The sequence below is a fragment of the Homo sapiens genome, chromosome 4, assembly GCF_000001405.40.
Source record: "Homo sapiens chromosome 4, GRCh38.p14 Primary Assembly".
Classification (NCBI taxonomy): domain Eukaryota; kingdom Metazoa; phylum Chordata; class Mammalia; order Primates; family Hominidae; genus Homo; species Homo sapiens.
The window spans coordinates 159,390,500-159,407,132 of record NC_000004.12 but is presented as its reverse complement, the minus strand read 5'-3'; the positions used below and the strand labels follow the sequence as shown (position 1 = coordinate 159,407,132).

General features: G+C 44.4%; 2 annotated features.

The window, feature by feature from the left end:
* Positions 4,611 to 5,810: an enhancer, noted in NCBI's record as "CDK7 strongly-dependent group 2 enhancer chr4:160322475-160323674 (GRCh37/hg19 assembly coordinates)". NCBI's record gives its function as "activates an origin of replication core promoter dependent on BRD2, BRD4, P300/CBP, MED14 and CDK7 cofactors, with strong dependence on CDK7, by STARR-seq in HCT116 cells {active_cell/tissue: HCT116}" and the evidence as "EXISTENCE:reporter gene assay evidence [ECO:0000049][PMID:35650434]".
* Positions 16,210 to 16,410: a silencer, noted in NCBI's record as "peak5139 fragment used in MPRA reporter construct". NCBI's record gives its function as "represses an SCP1 promoter by STARR-seq MPRAs in K562 erythroleukemia cells {active_cell/tissue: K562}" and the evidence as "EXISTENCE:reporter gene assay evidence [ECO:0000049][PMID:32103011]".

The following is a 16,633-nucleotide window of genomic DNA, read 5'->3' as shown; positions in this document are numbered from 1 at the left end:
GGTATAGTCTATGAGGCCTGCCTTGCAGGGGTTGTCATGGATTTCCATTGACCTTAATCATAGGATATGGTAATAGTAAGAGATGCCCTAAGGGACCACCTGTATTCCAGGCATATTCTTCCTTACCTCCACTGTGGAGTAGCAGTCAGATTTTCTCTTGGTAATCAGGAATCACCCTAGTCAATATCATAACTCCCTTCTTTGCCTGTCGACTCAGAGGCATGAGAAACCCAAAGTAGCCAGGCAGCTATCTTAACTCCCAGTTCAATGGAATCAATATATCTCCTGGTGGAAGCATTTCTCCCTTTGAAACTAAGACCTCTAGGCCAGTAGACCATAAGTTCTCAGGAATAGGAAGCAAAAATCTTGCTAGTCGGTTACTGAGAGTAATAGTGAATGGTACCACTCCCATTTCCACCCCTTGATTTCTGAACCCGTAAATTCTGCCCATGGGAGAAACAGCAACATATATTGGATGCTGATTCAGAGCACATACAGCCTTCTGGAGGGCACTTTGCCCAGCCCCGCAAGGTATTGTCACCTAGCGGGTCCTGAAACTGTGTCAGCTGAGTCTGCATAAGGCCATTTCACCGTTCTATCAAGCCAGCTGCCTCAGATGGTGGGAGATGTGGTAAAACCAGTGAATTCCATGAGCATGGGCCCATTGCCACACTTCATCTGCTGTGAAGTGAGTTCCTTGATTGGAAGCAATGCTATGTGCAATGCTGTTTTCCCAAATAGACATCGCCACCACAATAAACTAGAGATAAGTCACCATGGGATTCTGAGTAGGTCATGACATGATCTGATTACATGTCAGTAGATCAACCTGGCAGTTGTGTAGAGAATAGAATAGAGGGGAGTAAGAATAAAACTCAAGAGACTATTGCAGGAAACAGATGATGACTTGGGATAGGTTCTGGCGGGGGAGGTGAAAAGAAAGTTTTGTCTTTTTCTTTTATTTTAGAGATGGGGCCTTACTCTGTCACCTAGGTTGTAGTGCAGTGGTGCAATCCTAGTTCATTGTAGCCTTGAACTCCTGGGCTCAAGCAATTCTTCCACATCAGCCTCCCAAGTAGATAGGACTACAGGCATGTGTCACCATGCCTGGCTAATTTTTAAATATTTTGTAGAGATAGGGTCTTGCTACATGGCCCATGCTGTTTTCCAGCTTGTGCTGGGATTACAGGTGTGAGCCACTGTGCCCAGCAGAAAGGACATATTCTGAAGGTAGAGTCTATAAGAGGTGATGACGGGTTGCATGTGGATCATGAGAGAAAAGAAGATAGTTCATTCCAGGTTGTTGAAATTGTAGAACTAACATGGTGAATAGCGATGCCGTGTACTAATACATGAGCCACTGTAGGGGGAAGAGATTTGAGCAGTATAATGAAGAGTTTGGCGTTGGATATTTAATAATCAAGATCCCCATTTGAGTTAATTAGATTGATTTAATCATATCACAATGTACATATATATCAAAATATTATGTTGTACACTATATATATATATGTATATAGCTTTATTTGTCAATTATTTCTTAATAAAGCTGGGGGTTCCCATTAGAAATCAAGTCGATATGTAGAAAGAACAGTTGATTTATGCATTTAGAATTTCAGAGTGTCCTAGGTTGGGGAAGTAAATCTGAGAATTTTCAGCATATATATAGATCTTTTCAACCATAAAACTGTATGAGATCATCTAGGAGAAAATAAGTGTAGAAAAGAAAACAAGAGTCTAAAGACTGAGCCTGTGGGCATTCCAGCATTTGAAAGTGAGAAAGAGGAGGAGGAGTCAGCAAAAGAGGCTGAGAAGGAGCAACTAGGGAAGGAAAAAGAAAAGCGGGAAAATGGAGCCCTGGAAGCCAAGGGAACACAGTGTTCCAAAAGGGAATAAGCAGCTGGATCAAATGCTGCTAAAAGTTCAGTGAAGATGACTGAGAAATGAACATTAGAAGAATCTATGTAGGCCAAGCGCGGTGGCTCACGCCTGTAATTCCAGCACTTTGGGAGGCTGAGGCAAGCGAATCACGAGGTCGGGAATTCAAGACCAGCCCGACCAACATGGAGCAATCCCATCTCTACAAAAAATACAAAATTAGCCAGCCATGGTGGTGCATGCCTGTAATCCCAGCTACTTGGGAGGCTGAGGCAGGAGAATCGCTTCAACCTGAGAGGTAGAGGTTGCAGTGAGCCGAGATCGTGCCATTGCACTCCAGCCTGGGCAACAAGAGAAAAACTCCATCTCAAAAACAACAAAAAAAGAAGAAGAGGCCATGTAGACGTTGTTACTGACATTGACAATAGCTCTGGACTGATGGGCTTGAATATCTGATAGAAAGGGTTCTGGAGAGATGATGCAGTGAAGTGAAGGCAGAGAGCATAGCAAGTCTTCCCAGGAGTTCTGCTACAAAGGGGAGCGGAAGATCCAAGCAGTAATTAGAAGGCAAAGACTGTATCATACTTGCATGCTAATGAGAACAATCCAGTAGGCTAGAGGAAAGATAATAAATGACAGAGAAAGAAGAATTGTAGGAATTGAGAAAGAATAAAATATGGTGCACAGTAGAGAAATTGGCTTTAGGTAAGAGTAGGGTCAATTCACCCATTATATGTGAAAGGAAAACGGAGAATATCCACAGTTGCGTATAAAGTGGACTGACTCAGTGAATGGAAGGAGTAGATGTTTTCTTCTGATTAATTATACTTTTGCAGTTCGATAGAAAGGAAGGTCTCGGCTGAAATTTAATATTGGTGGCCATGAAGGAGGAGAAAAATGAGAGTGTAAGGGGATACCTCGCAAAACTAATAGGCCATGCTAAGGAGCACTCAAGGTTTGATGTTACAAATTTAGACTGAGACTAGTTCAGTTGTTGTTGTTGTTGTTGTCGTCATTTTCTGGCCATGGTAGCTGCTTGGTTATAGATGTTAGGGAAAATTGAATTCAATCAGGTTCAGGGGTTTGCCAGAAGGTCTAAGGAAAGAGGCGGGGATAAAAGGGTCTTAAAGATATATGCAAGGAGTAATTGCAATGATGAACCACAGACTCTAAGATACATAAGTGAAAAGCTGATAGAATCAATTAATTGGAAGTACCAATGGAATCAATAAATTGATGAGTTGGGCATGGTGGCACATGCCTGTAATCCTGGCTACTCAGGAACCTGAGATGGGGGAATTGCTTGAGCCCAGGAGTTCAAGGCTGCAGTGAGCTCTGATCACACTACTGCACTCCAGCCTAAGCAACATAGCAATACCTCGACAACAACAAAAAAAGTGTTGAAATGGGGAGCCTAGAGGAAATAAGCCATAAACATAAGAGATAGAATTCAAAGACTGGGACGCTTGAAATTAAGATTTTGGAGGTTGTGAAACCATAGGCGATGACAAAGATACGACCATTAAAGTAGGTGGCTGAGGATATAATGATGGAGGACATATCATTATAAGTGAGGAAAACAGTGAACAGAGAGGCCAGGGTGTTGATGGACTATCTAGGGGCATGCCAATGACAAGAATGATGCCCAGAGTCAAGATGGTAGGAACAACAGTGAACCGGACACGAAGATCGTCAATAAGAGGGGAAGGAGTAACCAGGAGAATGGTAGAGAATTGCAATGTGAAGAGGTAAAGGCAGGTCTAGTTTGATGGCATGAGTTTCAGAAGATCAAAACTGTTTTAGGAAATACTATGACCAATGGCTTGGAAAGAGCAATGGGGAGCCAGGAGCTACCTGCCCCACCTCTAGGCCTTGTCTGAACAGAGAGCATGAGGAAAGGACCAGCCATGTGTGAGAGGGCTTCTGAAGAAGCTAAGCTTTCAAGGGCAGCCAGACCTCAGTCAGAGCAGCACTATGTTGTTGTTGTTGTTGTTGAGACAGGGTCTTGCTCTGTTGTCACCCAGGCTGGAGTGCAGTGGCACAATAATAGCTCATTGCAGCCACAATCTCCTGGGCTCAAGCAATCCTCCCATCTCAGCCTCCCAAGTAGCTAGGACTACAGAATGGCATGGGCTATTTTTTTGTAGAGACAGTCTCACTTTGTTGCTCCGGCTGGTCTCGAACTCCTAGCCTCAAGCAATCCTCCTGCCTCAACCTCCCAAAGTGCTGAGATTACAGTCATGAGCCATCACACCTGGCCAAAGCAGCACTATCTGATAGCAATATAATGTGAACCACATACATAATTTTAAATTTTCTACTAGCCACATTTCTTTAAATCAAACAGAAATAGGTAAACAATTTAATAACATATTTTACTTAATACAATATAGACAACATATTGTCATGAGAAACCATGGAGACCAAAAGGAAGTGACAACCACATTTTTGAAGGGCTACAAGAAAAGAACTGACAGCATAGAATTTTTTTTTTTTTTTTTTTTTTTTTTTTGAGACGGAGTTTCTCTCTTGTTGCCCAGGCTGGAGTGCAGTGGTGCATTGGGCCTAGTTAATTACTAATCTCAGCTCACTGGAACCTCCGCCTCCTGGGTTCAAGTGATTCTCCTGCCTCAGCCTCCTGAATAGCTGGGATTACAAGTGCCTACCACCAAGCCCGGCTATTTTTTGTATTTTTAGTAGAGATGGGGTTTCGCCATGTTGGCCAGGCTGGTCTCAAACTCCTGACCTCAGGTGATCCGCCCACCTCAGCCTCCCGAAGTGCTGGGATTACAGGCATGAGCCACCGCGCCCCGTCAGCACAGAATCTTATACCCACCTAAGTATCCTTCAAGATAGTTTAAGTTCCTTTTTTCATATGAAGTCTTCAAAATCCAGTATGTGTTTATGCTGATACCGCATCTCAATCTGGACTAGTCACATTTCAAGTGTTCAACAGCCACATATGGGTAATAGTGGCTGCATGGGAAAGCTCAGAGTTAAACAAGAAGGTGAAGGAAATGTTCCCAGATGAGAACGAAGACAGGAAATTGTACTGATGACACACTCTGAATTCCAGAGGCTCAGAGGAATGACTGAGGGTCACAGAGGTGTGGGAGCATGAGTCGGATGAGAGAATGTTCTGAACCCCATGGGAAAAACGGTAGGAGTAATGAAGGTTGACCTTGAAGGCTTGGACTTGGACTTTCAGTAGTAACTGAAGTAAACAGGTCCATAAGTGCTGGAGGATTTGTCCCAGGGCTCTCCTGCAGGGATGGGATAATCACCTCTCATTATAGCCTGCTCTAGGGCACTGGTGCCAGGCAATTTGTATCGGAGACAAAGAGAGAATGGAGGGATGGGGCCTGGTGGATTATCAGAGCCCTTGGGCTGTGTAGTGCTCCTTGGGTCCTGCCGAGGGAGGGCCTCAGGCTGGGGGAGAACCCAGAGTGCTCTCTGTATTCCTGCCCCAGTCTTGCTGCTGGCTGTGCGGGGTAAAAATAGAGGAAGCATGACGGGGAGTGGGGGGCTGGGCAGGGTTGGTTACTAAACAAAATAGCATTTTACCTGAGAAAAATAACACAGAATAGTGATACTGATGGCTGTCCTTAGCTAAAGGATGCTGACAACATTTTAAAAAGGAAATGAAATAAACAGAGCAGACTCAAGAAGGGGTGGAGAGAAGGCAAGAAAAGAGAAGCAGGCGGGAGAGGAAGAACAGAGGGTGTGGAGCAGGTCAGGAAGAGGGACTCAGAGGGGAGGAGTGAGCAGCAGGAAGCCTTCAGGCATTTTGTCCCCCTTGTTTCCAGGGACCCTAAGAAGATCAGATATCCATGGACTGGTGGCCCCTGTCCTGCAGATGGTGACCGTCAATGCCTAAGATCCAAGCCCTGCTCCCAGGCACACCCATCTAGACCCAAGGACACTTTCTCATTGCTGACGGGCTAGGCTGGCTGTGTCCCGCTTGGGTCTCCCCTGCTTCCCCCACAAAATCATGTGCATCCACAACTTATCTCATCTGTCCTTGGAATAAACCATAAATCCCTTCTTAGCATCTGTTTCCCATCAGAGTTCTTCCAAGGAGAGGGGCTGCTCCCCAGCCCTCAGCCAGCTCGTTCCCTCCAACTTGTCTTGTCAGTGCTGACTGTCCGCCTCAGAAATGCACCTCCCAGGATCAGAACAGTAGCTGCAGCATCTCCAAAGGCTTAGCTGCACTCCAAGCTTGTCCTCGGAAGTTTAGAAATGAGGAAATAGCCAGCAGCTGTTCTCAACGAGAAGGTGCAGCCAGCGTCCAGCCAGCAGCAGTTCTGCAGGGTGGGAGGTGGAGCGGGGGCGCGTGTGAAACTTCTCCCAGGCAGGTCCCCACAAGGTGGGAGAGGCAGCGAAAGCCTGGGGGGGAAGCTTCACTGTGATTAAAATGGTCTGCCTCATCCAGCAGCATCTTTGAGCGAAACATTATCTCAGTCTGTAAAAAAGAAGCCTGTGAGAAGGTTTCACTAGTTAGTCTAATTTTGGAATAGCATTCTACACAGTTCCGAGGGAAAGAATTGACACTTGCTAGATTAATTCAAATTGGTTTAACTGCAAACAGAATCACATTCCCCCAGGGAGTCAGACAACCCCATCTCAGGAAGAAAGGGATGTTTGAGCCTGTCCTGAGCTTGAGCCCTCAGGGTCATGTCCCATCTTTACTATCCTCGCCTCAGGACTCCCCCCCAACCACACTCAAGCCCCAGCCCACTCTGGCCTGACACACCCCATTCAATGCACAGAGGGGGCTGCCAGGACCATGCTGAAGGCAGGGGTAGTCACCTTGCCCTGCCTCCCTCCGCCTTCCATTTAAGGAAGGAGTGCCTTTAGAAGTGACCCCCTCTCAGCAGGCAGATTCCCTTTGGCTTGGAGGCATCATTATCTATCTTTGAGGGGCGTCTTTTGCAGCATCAAATTTTTTCTCCCATTTTTCTTCGGTGGCTCTAGACAGAGATTGACTGAGTGCAAGCCTGGTTCCTCTGTTTACTGGCTGGGTGGTTTTGGACTTCCCAGGCCCCCATTTCCCATCTGTCAAATGGGAATCCTGACAATAGCACTTTCATGATAGGGGTACTGTGTGGGCTTAAATAGGTAAAGGACATAAAAAAAGACCATCTCTCTTGCAGAGTAAACACCTGGTAAATATTCGCTGCTTTTAGGGGATATCTTTGTTATCTGCTGTTCTTTGAGGGTCTAATTCTGGCCTCACTCTATTCTTGGTTAATTTCTTGTAGCTACTAGTTTTACATCTACGTTCATCTTTCAGTGTAAAATGGTCCCCTTTAACCTCCCCAAACAAATGCATTCCTCACTTCTACAGCTACAACCACCATCACCACCATCACCAACTCTTCCTGCGAAGAATCTAAATTAAAAACAAAATCCTTCAGTGACACCAAAAAATTAAATGCCTAAAACCATTATACCTTCCCTCTCTATGGTGGGTTGTTTTTTTGTTGGTTTGTTTTGTTTTGTTTTGTTTTCATAGAGGGTGTCACTCTGTGGCCCTGGCTAGAATGCAGTGTCTTCATATGGCTCACTTTAACCTCAAACTAATACCTGGGCTCAAGCATCCTCTCAATTTCAGCTTCCCAAGTAGCTGGGACCACAGGCACACACACCAACATACCTGGTTAATTTTTTTTTTTTTTTGAGACGGTGCAATCATGACTCACTATAGCCTCAACTTCCTGGGCTCAAATGATCCTCCCACTTCAGCCTCCCAAGCAGCTGGGACTACAGGTGCACACCACTACACCTGGCTACTTTTTTTTTTTTTTTGAGACAGAGTCTTGCTCTGTTGCCCAGGCTGGAGTGAAGGTGTGTTCTTGGCTCACTTCAACCTCTGCCTCCTGGGTTCAAGCAATTCTCCTGCCTCTGCCTCCCAAGTAGCTGGGACTACAGGCACATGCCACCACACCCAGCTAATTTTTTAACTCCTGAGCTCAGGCAATCTGCCCGCCTTGGCCTCCCAAAGTGCTGGGATTATAGGTGTGAGCCACTGCGCCCGGCCCACTTGGCTACATTTTTAATTTTTTAATTTTTTTTTTGTAGACATGGAGGTCTCACTATGTTGCCTAGGCCAGTCGCGAACTCCTCCTGGCCTCAAGCAATCTTCCTGCCTTAGCCTCCCAAAGTGCTGGGATTACAGGCGTGAGCCATTAATCACTGGCCCCCTCCAGCGTTTAATTTCTGGACAATATTGGCTGACTTCAACGTCTCCTCTTAGGGTGAGGGTCTGCCCCTGATGACCCACAGCTTGGACTTTTGAAGAGATCTTGCCCCAAATTTGTCCAAGAATTTTGTGCTAAGGCCAATTCTGGCAACCGGCCGGTCACTGTCTCTCCAGAAGAGCTTAACGCAAAGAGAAGCCTGCATAAAGAATGCTCACAAGCCTAAAATCTCATGGTGGGCCCCTTCTGTGTCCCCAGCTACACAGATCCAGAATATGTTACTTTAAACAAGGTGGCACTCAACCAAGATAGGATATGGCTTCTAAATTAAAGTTGAGCTGAAAGCATATTTTGCTATCTCTATGGAAAGGTTTCAGGCAAACTCACAGGCTACGCAAGGTGCAACAGACACGCATACGGGCTGACCTTTGTTGGCATACAGCCTGACCTTTCTTCATCAGCCTTCTGCTTTTCATTGTTCCCTCTCTGAACTTCTCTGGAGGGCAGCAACGAGCAATGTTCCTCCCAGCAGAGTCAATTTGGGACATCTTTAATTGTCCTTATGTCTGTTTTCCCCAGAGTCAGACGTCCACTCAAGTCCAAGAACATTTCGAAAAGCCAAAGTAAATAAACAAAGAAACCCTTTTCCATGGCTCACCACTTGGTTTTCCCAAAGTTTTTCCCAGCTATAAAAAGATATTTCAACGGACAGGAAATAGTTTCCTGACTGACATACTGTCTCTTGGGGGGAAGTTTAGCTTCTTGTCTACCAACATTTCACGTTGGCTAGAGAATCGGCCCACCTTCCTTGAAAGCCTCCTAATACTCTCTGTCTCTGCAGTAACTAGGTGATCAAGTCATGAGCACCATGACACAATCTGAACCTGGTGATCCTTTCAAAGAATCACTAGAAAATCTCCATCTTTACCCTTAATTAGCAATGTTCTTTTAATTCACTTAGGAAATAAAGCCCAGGCATATTTGGAGATGTTTTTCCCTCTTACAGCTGCTAGAAGTTTAAGACGCAAAATATCTTTCCAATATTAGGTGGTCCATCTCAAAACTACCCACCTCATTTAACAGGGTGTACTTATTAGTTTTCTTTGCTGCCGTATTAAATTACCACAAATATAGTGACTTAAACAACACAAATGTATTCTTTTACAGTTCTGGGGGGTCAGAAATCTAAAATTTGTTTTACATTGCCAGGGCTGGTCTCTTCTGGAGTGTCCAGAGGAGAATTTGTTCCTTGTTTTTTCCAGCTTCTGGAGGTGCCTTGGCATTTCTTGGTTCTAACTCACGTCGCTCTATACTTCTTTTTTTTTTTTTTTTTTTGAGACAGAGTCTTGCTTTGTTGCCCAGGATGGAGTGCAGTGGCACAATCTCGGCTCACTGCAACCTCTGCCTCCTAGGTTCAAGCATTCTTGTGCCTTAGCCTCTCGAGTAGCTGGGATTACAGGTGTGTGCCATCACACCTGGGTAATTTTTGTATTTTTAGTAGAGATGGGGTTTCACCATCTTAGCCAGGCTGGTCTTGAACTCCTGACCTCAAGTGATCCACCCACCTTGGCCTCGCTCTATACTTTTTCTGTCTTCACATCACCTTCTCTTTGAGGGAGGGAGCTATTATTTTGGCTAATACGTATGGCTTTTAATTCATTTTGAATAATGTGGATCACCCTGCACTATGTTTTTAAATAATTTTTGGTTTTATGCATTACAATACAGGTCAATTGACAAAACTAGGTTTTTGTCTGGTGGTCTGCACTATTTTAAATTGCTAATTTAAAATGCTTTCCTTTTGTTTTATTTATTTATTTATTTATTTATTAGATGGATTCTCACTCTGTCCCCCAGGTTGGAGTGCAGTGGCTCAAACTCAGCTCACTGCAACCTCCAGCTCCTGGGTTCAAGCAGTACTCCTGTCTCAGCCTCCTGAGTAGCTGGGATTATAGGCGCACATTACCATGCCTGGTGTATTAGTCAGGGTTCTCTAGAGTGACAGAACTAATAGGATATATATGATATGTAATAGGATATCCTATCTTATATATATATCCTATTACATATCATATATATATATATAAAGGGGAGTTTATTAAGTATTAACTCAAATGATCACAAGGTCCCACAATAGGCTGTCTGCAAGCTGAGGTGCAAGGAGAGCCAGTCCGAGTCCCAAAACTGAAGAACTTGGAGTCTGATGTTTGAGGGCAGGAAGCATCCAGCACAGGAGAAAGATGTAGGCTGGGAGGCTAGGCCAAGCTAGTCTTTTCACATTTTTCTGCCTGCTTTATATTCTAGCCACGCTGGCAGCTGATTAGATGGTGTTGACCCAGATTAAGAGTGGGTCTGCCTTTCCCAGTCCACTGACTCAAATGTTAATCTCCTTTGGCAACACCCTCACAGACACACCCAAGATCAATACTTCGCATCCTTCAATCCAAACAAGTTGACACTCAGTATTAACCATCACAACTGGCTACTTTTTTGTATATTTTTTAGTAGAGATGGGGTTTCACTGTGTTGGCCAGGCTGGTCTCGAACTCCTGGCCTCATGTGATCCACCCATCTCAGCCTCCCAAAATGTTGGATTCCAGGCATGAGTCACCATACCCGGCCAAAACTGTGTCCTCTAATCTAATTTTCCTCAGTCTCTCTCAACCAGGACCACAAGACCTGCTAACAGTATTTCATTCTTTGCCCTGGCCAATTGTTCCAATTCACACAAAGCTAACTGTATTAATCAGGACACTTTTGGTTGCCAGAGTAGCCTAGCTTAATCTGGCTTAAATTTTTTAAAAACGTGTAGGCTCACAAAATTGAAAAGTGCAGGGGTACAGATAGACTTGGGCACAGAGGGAAGCAAGTACTCAATTACATCTTTAGGAATTTTTTTACTTACTCCATCTTTTTGACTTGCTTTCGTCTGTGTTGCTTTTTTTTTTTTCCAGACAAAGGCTAATGTTCCTAAGTATTTGCAAAAAATAGCTACGAGAAAAGGTCATCTTCTAATTGATCCATGTGGCAACCCCAACAGGAGACAATGCCTCTTTCACAAAAGTTCCAGCAAAAATCCCAAAAAGGATTCTTCCCAACCTAGCTGAGGTCATGAGTACAATACTCACCCAGTCATTGTAACTAACAAGCTCTGATACTGTGACTGGCCAGGCCTGAGTCATGTGCTTTCCTTAAGACTAGGATGAGGCCGGGTGCAGTGGCTCATGCCTGTAATCCCAGCACTTCAGGAGGCTGAGGTGGGAGGATCACTTGAGGCCAGGTGTTCAAGACAAGGCTGGACAACATAGGGAGACACCCACCTCTACAAAAAATACAAAAATTAGCCAGGCTTGGTGGCACATGCCTGCAGTCCCAGCTACTCAGGATTCTGCGGTGCGAGGATCACTTGGGCCCAGGAGTTTGAGGCTTCAATGAGCCATGATTGCGCCACTGCACTCCAGCCTAAGCAACAGAGAGAAACCCTGTAAAAAAATTTCTTTTAAACTTAGCATGAGCATTTGACCTATGCCACATGATAAACAGTGAGCATTTGACCTATGCCACATGATAAAGAGGGGTGGTCACTCTCCCCAAAATAAAGGTTTTTTTGTTTGTTTGTTTGTTTGTTTGTTTTTGAGATGGAGTCTTGCTCTGTCGCCCAGGCTGGAGTGCAGTGGTGCGATCTCTGCTCACTGCAAGCTGCGCCTTCTGGGTTCAAGCCATTCTCCCGCCTCAGCCTCCCGAGTAGCTGGGACTACAGGTGCCTGCCCGGCTAATTTTTTTTTGTATTTTTAGTAGAGACGGGGTTTCACCTTGTCAGCCAGGATGGTCTCGATCTCCTGACCTTGTGATCCGCCCGTCTCGGCCTCCCGAAGTGCTGGGATTACAGGCATGAGCCACCACGCCCAGCCCAAGATAAAGGTTAAATTCATAGAAGAAGGAGAAATGGATGATGGTCAAACAAAATTAATACGTCCACTACACCAGGATAAGACCCAAGTGGAACCTTTTTTTTTCTTTTCACCAAGTGGAGCCTTTTCCATGGAGCATCTAATAGTATATCTAGACACAGTTTCTGAAGGTAAAATTATCATTGGTTTCTTAAAGTTAGATTCTCACATCTATCCTTGAGCTATATCGTGTTAATCGGCTGTTTGTGGATGTTCAGACAACACTGGAGTCAGGTGAAAAATGATCTTTTCTCATGCCCAGGGCTGAATTATTGAAAGGACCAAATACTCTAGGTTTACAAAACCACATCACAAAAATCTCAACCTATTGTCAGATCTGTTAACCCTGGGAAAATTTAAAAGAAAGCAAGTAATTCAGTTGTCCAAAAGCTTAAATGACAACAATGAAAGCATGATGTTTAGCGTACTCTACTCTCTCTCATTTCCTGTAAGGCACAGAATGACAGGAGTAACTGATCCAAAGGTTCTTGATTTTCAAAAATCTCTTGACTAAATCAAGTAAAAATGGACCAATAAAGCTTTCAATTTCATGGCTTTTAAAGCTTGTTTTCACAAACCAGCTCTTGGATTCTTGACGTCAAAAATCTATTTTTAGGTAGAGTGTTCACTCTTCATCCAAGAGTAGATGTATATTCTTAGTCTGATTTTAATTTTCCTCTTATTTGGAAAAAATGACTTAGAGAATTAAGGAAAAAAATAATCACATGATAAAGGAATCTGCAAAATCACAGAATTTACATTTTCTATGTAGATATTTATCATTTGTATTATAAAAGTATAATCTTAGTTTCTAAAGTTACTTTGTTTAATGATTATGACAGTATAATCAGCCAGGTGTATGCTGAATTAAGATCGAGGCTACTTACCTGATTTTTCTGTTTTGGGTGACAAAATTTTATTTCAATTGTTAGCAGGGATCCACTTTGCCCACATAACTGTGGAAATAACCAAAGGCGTTGTTTAAATCAGGACATTATGTGAACAACTAAAAGGTTATCCAAAATAATTAAACTTATAGCACAAAATGAGAATTATGCACATTATTGTAATTAACTTAGTCACATAGGACGAACGATAAGAAATAGACTGAGATTTTGAGATTCCAGCTCCTCTTAGGAATCCATGACACAATTAACAGTATTTTACTCTTTTCTGATTCTCTTCTTCTTTGTTTTTAAGTTTTCCTGGCTCTTTCTAATTTTAGAAGTCTTCATTTTTCAGCCTACAGTTGAATCAAGTTGGAATTTTAAATATAGGGTCTTTATTCTTTATCATCTAAATTATTTTTAAAGTTTTTTTTTTCCTTTTAAACACTTTTAAATTCCTACAGCTAACTGTAGGCCTCTGGGAATAGTCCTTCTCTATCAAAGCATGTTGGCCAGGTGCGGTGGCTCACGCCTGTAATCCCAGCACTTTGGAAGTCTGAGGTGTGCGGATCACGAGGTCAGGAGATCGAGACCATCCTGGCCAACACGGTGAAACCCCGTCTCTACTAAAAATACAAAAAAAAAATTAGCCGGGTGTGGTGGTGGGCACCTGTAGTCCCAGCTACTCGGGAGGCTGAGGCAGGAGAATGGCATGAACCCAGAAGGCGGAGCTTACAGTGAGCCGAGATTGTGCCACTGCACTCCAGCCTGGGCGACAGAGTGAGACTCCGTCTCAAAAAAAAAAAAAAAAAAAAAAAAAAAAAGAGTGTTGAGGGGCCTCTTGTAGCCAGGTTTCTGCTCAATGGTGCATTCAGAGATGCCCCATCCAGGAAGCAAAGTCATTTTTCAAACGGATTCCAATCTTCTCGTCCTTCTCAAATGTCTCCCCGTCTCCCTTAATTCCCCATTTCTCTCTCTCCTTGCAACTATTCAAGATCCTCTCATGTGCTAAACCTAATGTTCTCACTTGAGCCGCAGCCTCTTCTCTTTCTCTCTAGACATTTCTCTCTCCCCAGCCTCTGTATTGTGGGTAACGATGTGGACTCCTTGTAAAAGTTGTTAGCCTTTTCTCCTCTACTGCTCCGCAATCCAATTCCACTGACAGCAACACTTAAAGACTAGGAAACTCAACCAGGCAAGTTAAAACTATATTTCCAAAAAGAGGATAGAAAAGTAGATTCTCTGCAAAGAAAAAATTTTCCAAAGTCAGACACAGGTGAATGAAAAGAGCTCAGGAATACATAGTACTGAACTCGTTCCTTGTGTTTTTACAACTTTCACCACCCTCGGGCTGTTACTTCTTGTTCAAACCTTTGTGGTTCATGTAAAATAAGACAGGGTTAAGCTGGGCACAGTGGCTCGTGCCTATATAATCCCCCTACTTGGGAGACTGAGGCAAGAGGATTGCTTGAGTCCAGGAATTCGAGACCAACCTGGGAAACATGGCAAGACCCCCTATCTCTTAAAAAGTTCTTTGAAAACATAAGACAGCCTTAAAAGAGCTTGTGCAGTCATCTGCTTTTTTTTTTTTTTTTTTTTTTTTTGAGACGGAGTCTCGCTCTGTCGCCCAGGCTGTTGTGTAGTGGCGCGATCTCCGCTCACTGCAAGCTCCGCCTCCCGGGTTCACGCCATTCTCCTGCCTCAGCCTCCCGAGTAGCCTGGACCACAGGCGCCCACCACCATGCCCGGCTAATTTTTTGTATCTTTAGTAGAGACGGGGTTTCACCGTGTTAGTCAGGATGGTCTCGATCTGCTGACCTTGTGATCCGCCTGCCTCGGCCTCCCAAAGTTCTAGGACCACAAGTCATCTGCTTTATAAAGAAAAATAACTTCCAGGCCAGGCGCAGTGGCTCACACCTGTGATCCCAGCATTTTAGGAGGCCAAGGCGGGCAGATCACCTGAGGTCAGAAGTTTGAGACCAGCCTGACCAACATGGAGAAACCCCGTCTCTACTAAAAGTACAAAATTAGCCGGGCATGGTGATGCGTGCCTGTAATCCCAGCTACTCAGGAGGCTGAGGCAGGAGAATCGCTTGAACCCAGGAGGCAAAGGTTGCAGTGAGCCGAAATAGCACCCTTGCACTCCAGCCTGGGCAACAAGAGCAAAACAGAAAGACAGACAGACAGAAAGAAAGAGAAAGAAAGCAAGAGACAGAAAAGAAAGAAAAGAAAAGAGGGAAAGAAAGAGAAAGAAAAGAAAAAGAAAGAAAGGAGGAAAGGAAGAAAGCAAGCAAGCAAGCCTCCAAACTGAATCTGAATTAGAGAGTTTCCCCTATTGCCCAGAAATCATGGGTGCCAGAGCAACTTCAAGGAAAACTATGCAACCTTTCTGGGCCTAGTAGTTCAAACTTAAATCATTCACAAAACAGTCATTAGGAGTACAGGCTCTGAAGCTAGCCGGGCTGGGTTCTCATTCTGCCTCCACCACTTTCTAACTGCACCCTTGGCAAATTGCTTACCCCACCTGGTGCCTCCGTTTTCTCGTGAAAAATGGAGAGAAAAATATCTACCTTACAGGCTGTGAGAAATCAGCCTGTTGCCACATGTAACATGCTTAGAACGGTGCCTGACACACTTGAGAAAAGCCTCAACATATATGAGTTGTTACTGTTCATGTCCATATTTATGGAGGCTACATAGAGTTGGGATTTTACATAGATTTGGGATATTTTACATAGACTTGCGATTTTACATTGATTTGGGATGTCAGCATATCACCTACTAAAGTACTCAGAATATTCATGGTGTAGAAATAGGCTGTATTTTTTTTTTTTTTTTGAGATGGAGTCTCACTCTGTTGCCCAGGCTGGAGTGCAGCGGCGCGATCTGGGCTCACTGCAAGCTCCGCCTCCCGGGTTCACGCCATTTTCCTGCCTCAGCCTCCTGAGTAGCTGGGACTACAGGCGCCCGTCACCATGCCCGGCGAAGTTTTTGTATTTTTTAGTAGAGACTGGGTTTCACCATGTTAACCAGTGTGTGTGGAATTGGTGGGTTCTTGGTCTCAATGACTTCAAGAATGAAGCTGCGGACCCTTGCAGTGAGTGTTACAGTTCTTAAAGGTGGTGTGTCCGGAGTTTGTTCCTCTGATGTTCGGACGTGTTCGGAGTTTCTTCCTTCTGGAGGGTTCGTGGTCTCGCTGGCTTCAGGAGTGAAGCTGCAGACCTTTGCGGTGAGTGCTACAGCTCTTAAGGCGACGTGTCTGGAGTTGTTCGTTCCTCCCGTCCAGAATTGTTCATTCCTCCCGGTGGGTTCGTGGTCTGGCTGGCCTCAGGAAGGAAGCTGCATACCTTCGCAGTGAGTGTTACAACTCATAAAAGCTGGCACCAACCCAAAGAGTGAGTAGCAGCAAGATTTATTGCTAAGAGAGAAAGAACAAAACTTCCACATTGTGGAAGAGGACCCGGGTTGTCCTGCTGGCTCAGGCAGCCTTATTTTATTCCCTTATCTGACCCTACCTATATCTTGCTGATTGGCCCATTTTACAGAGAGCTGATTGGTCCGTTTTGACAGGGTGCTGATTGGTGTGTTTACAAACCTTGAGCTAGACACAGAGTGCTGATTGGTGCATTTACAATCCTTTAGCTAGACACAAAAGTTCTCCAAGTCCCCACTAGATTAGCTAGACACAGAGCACTGATTGGTGCGTTTACAAACCTTT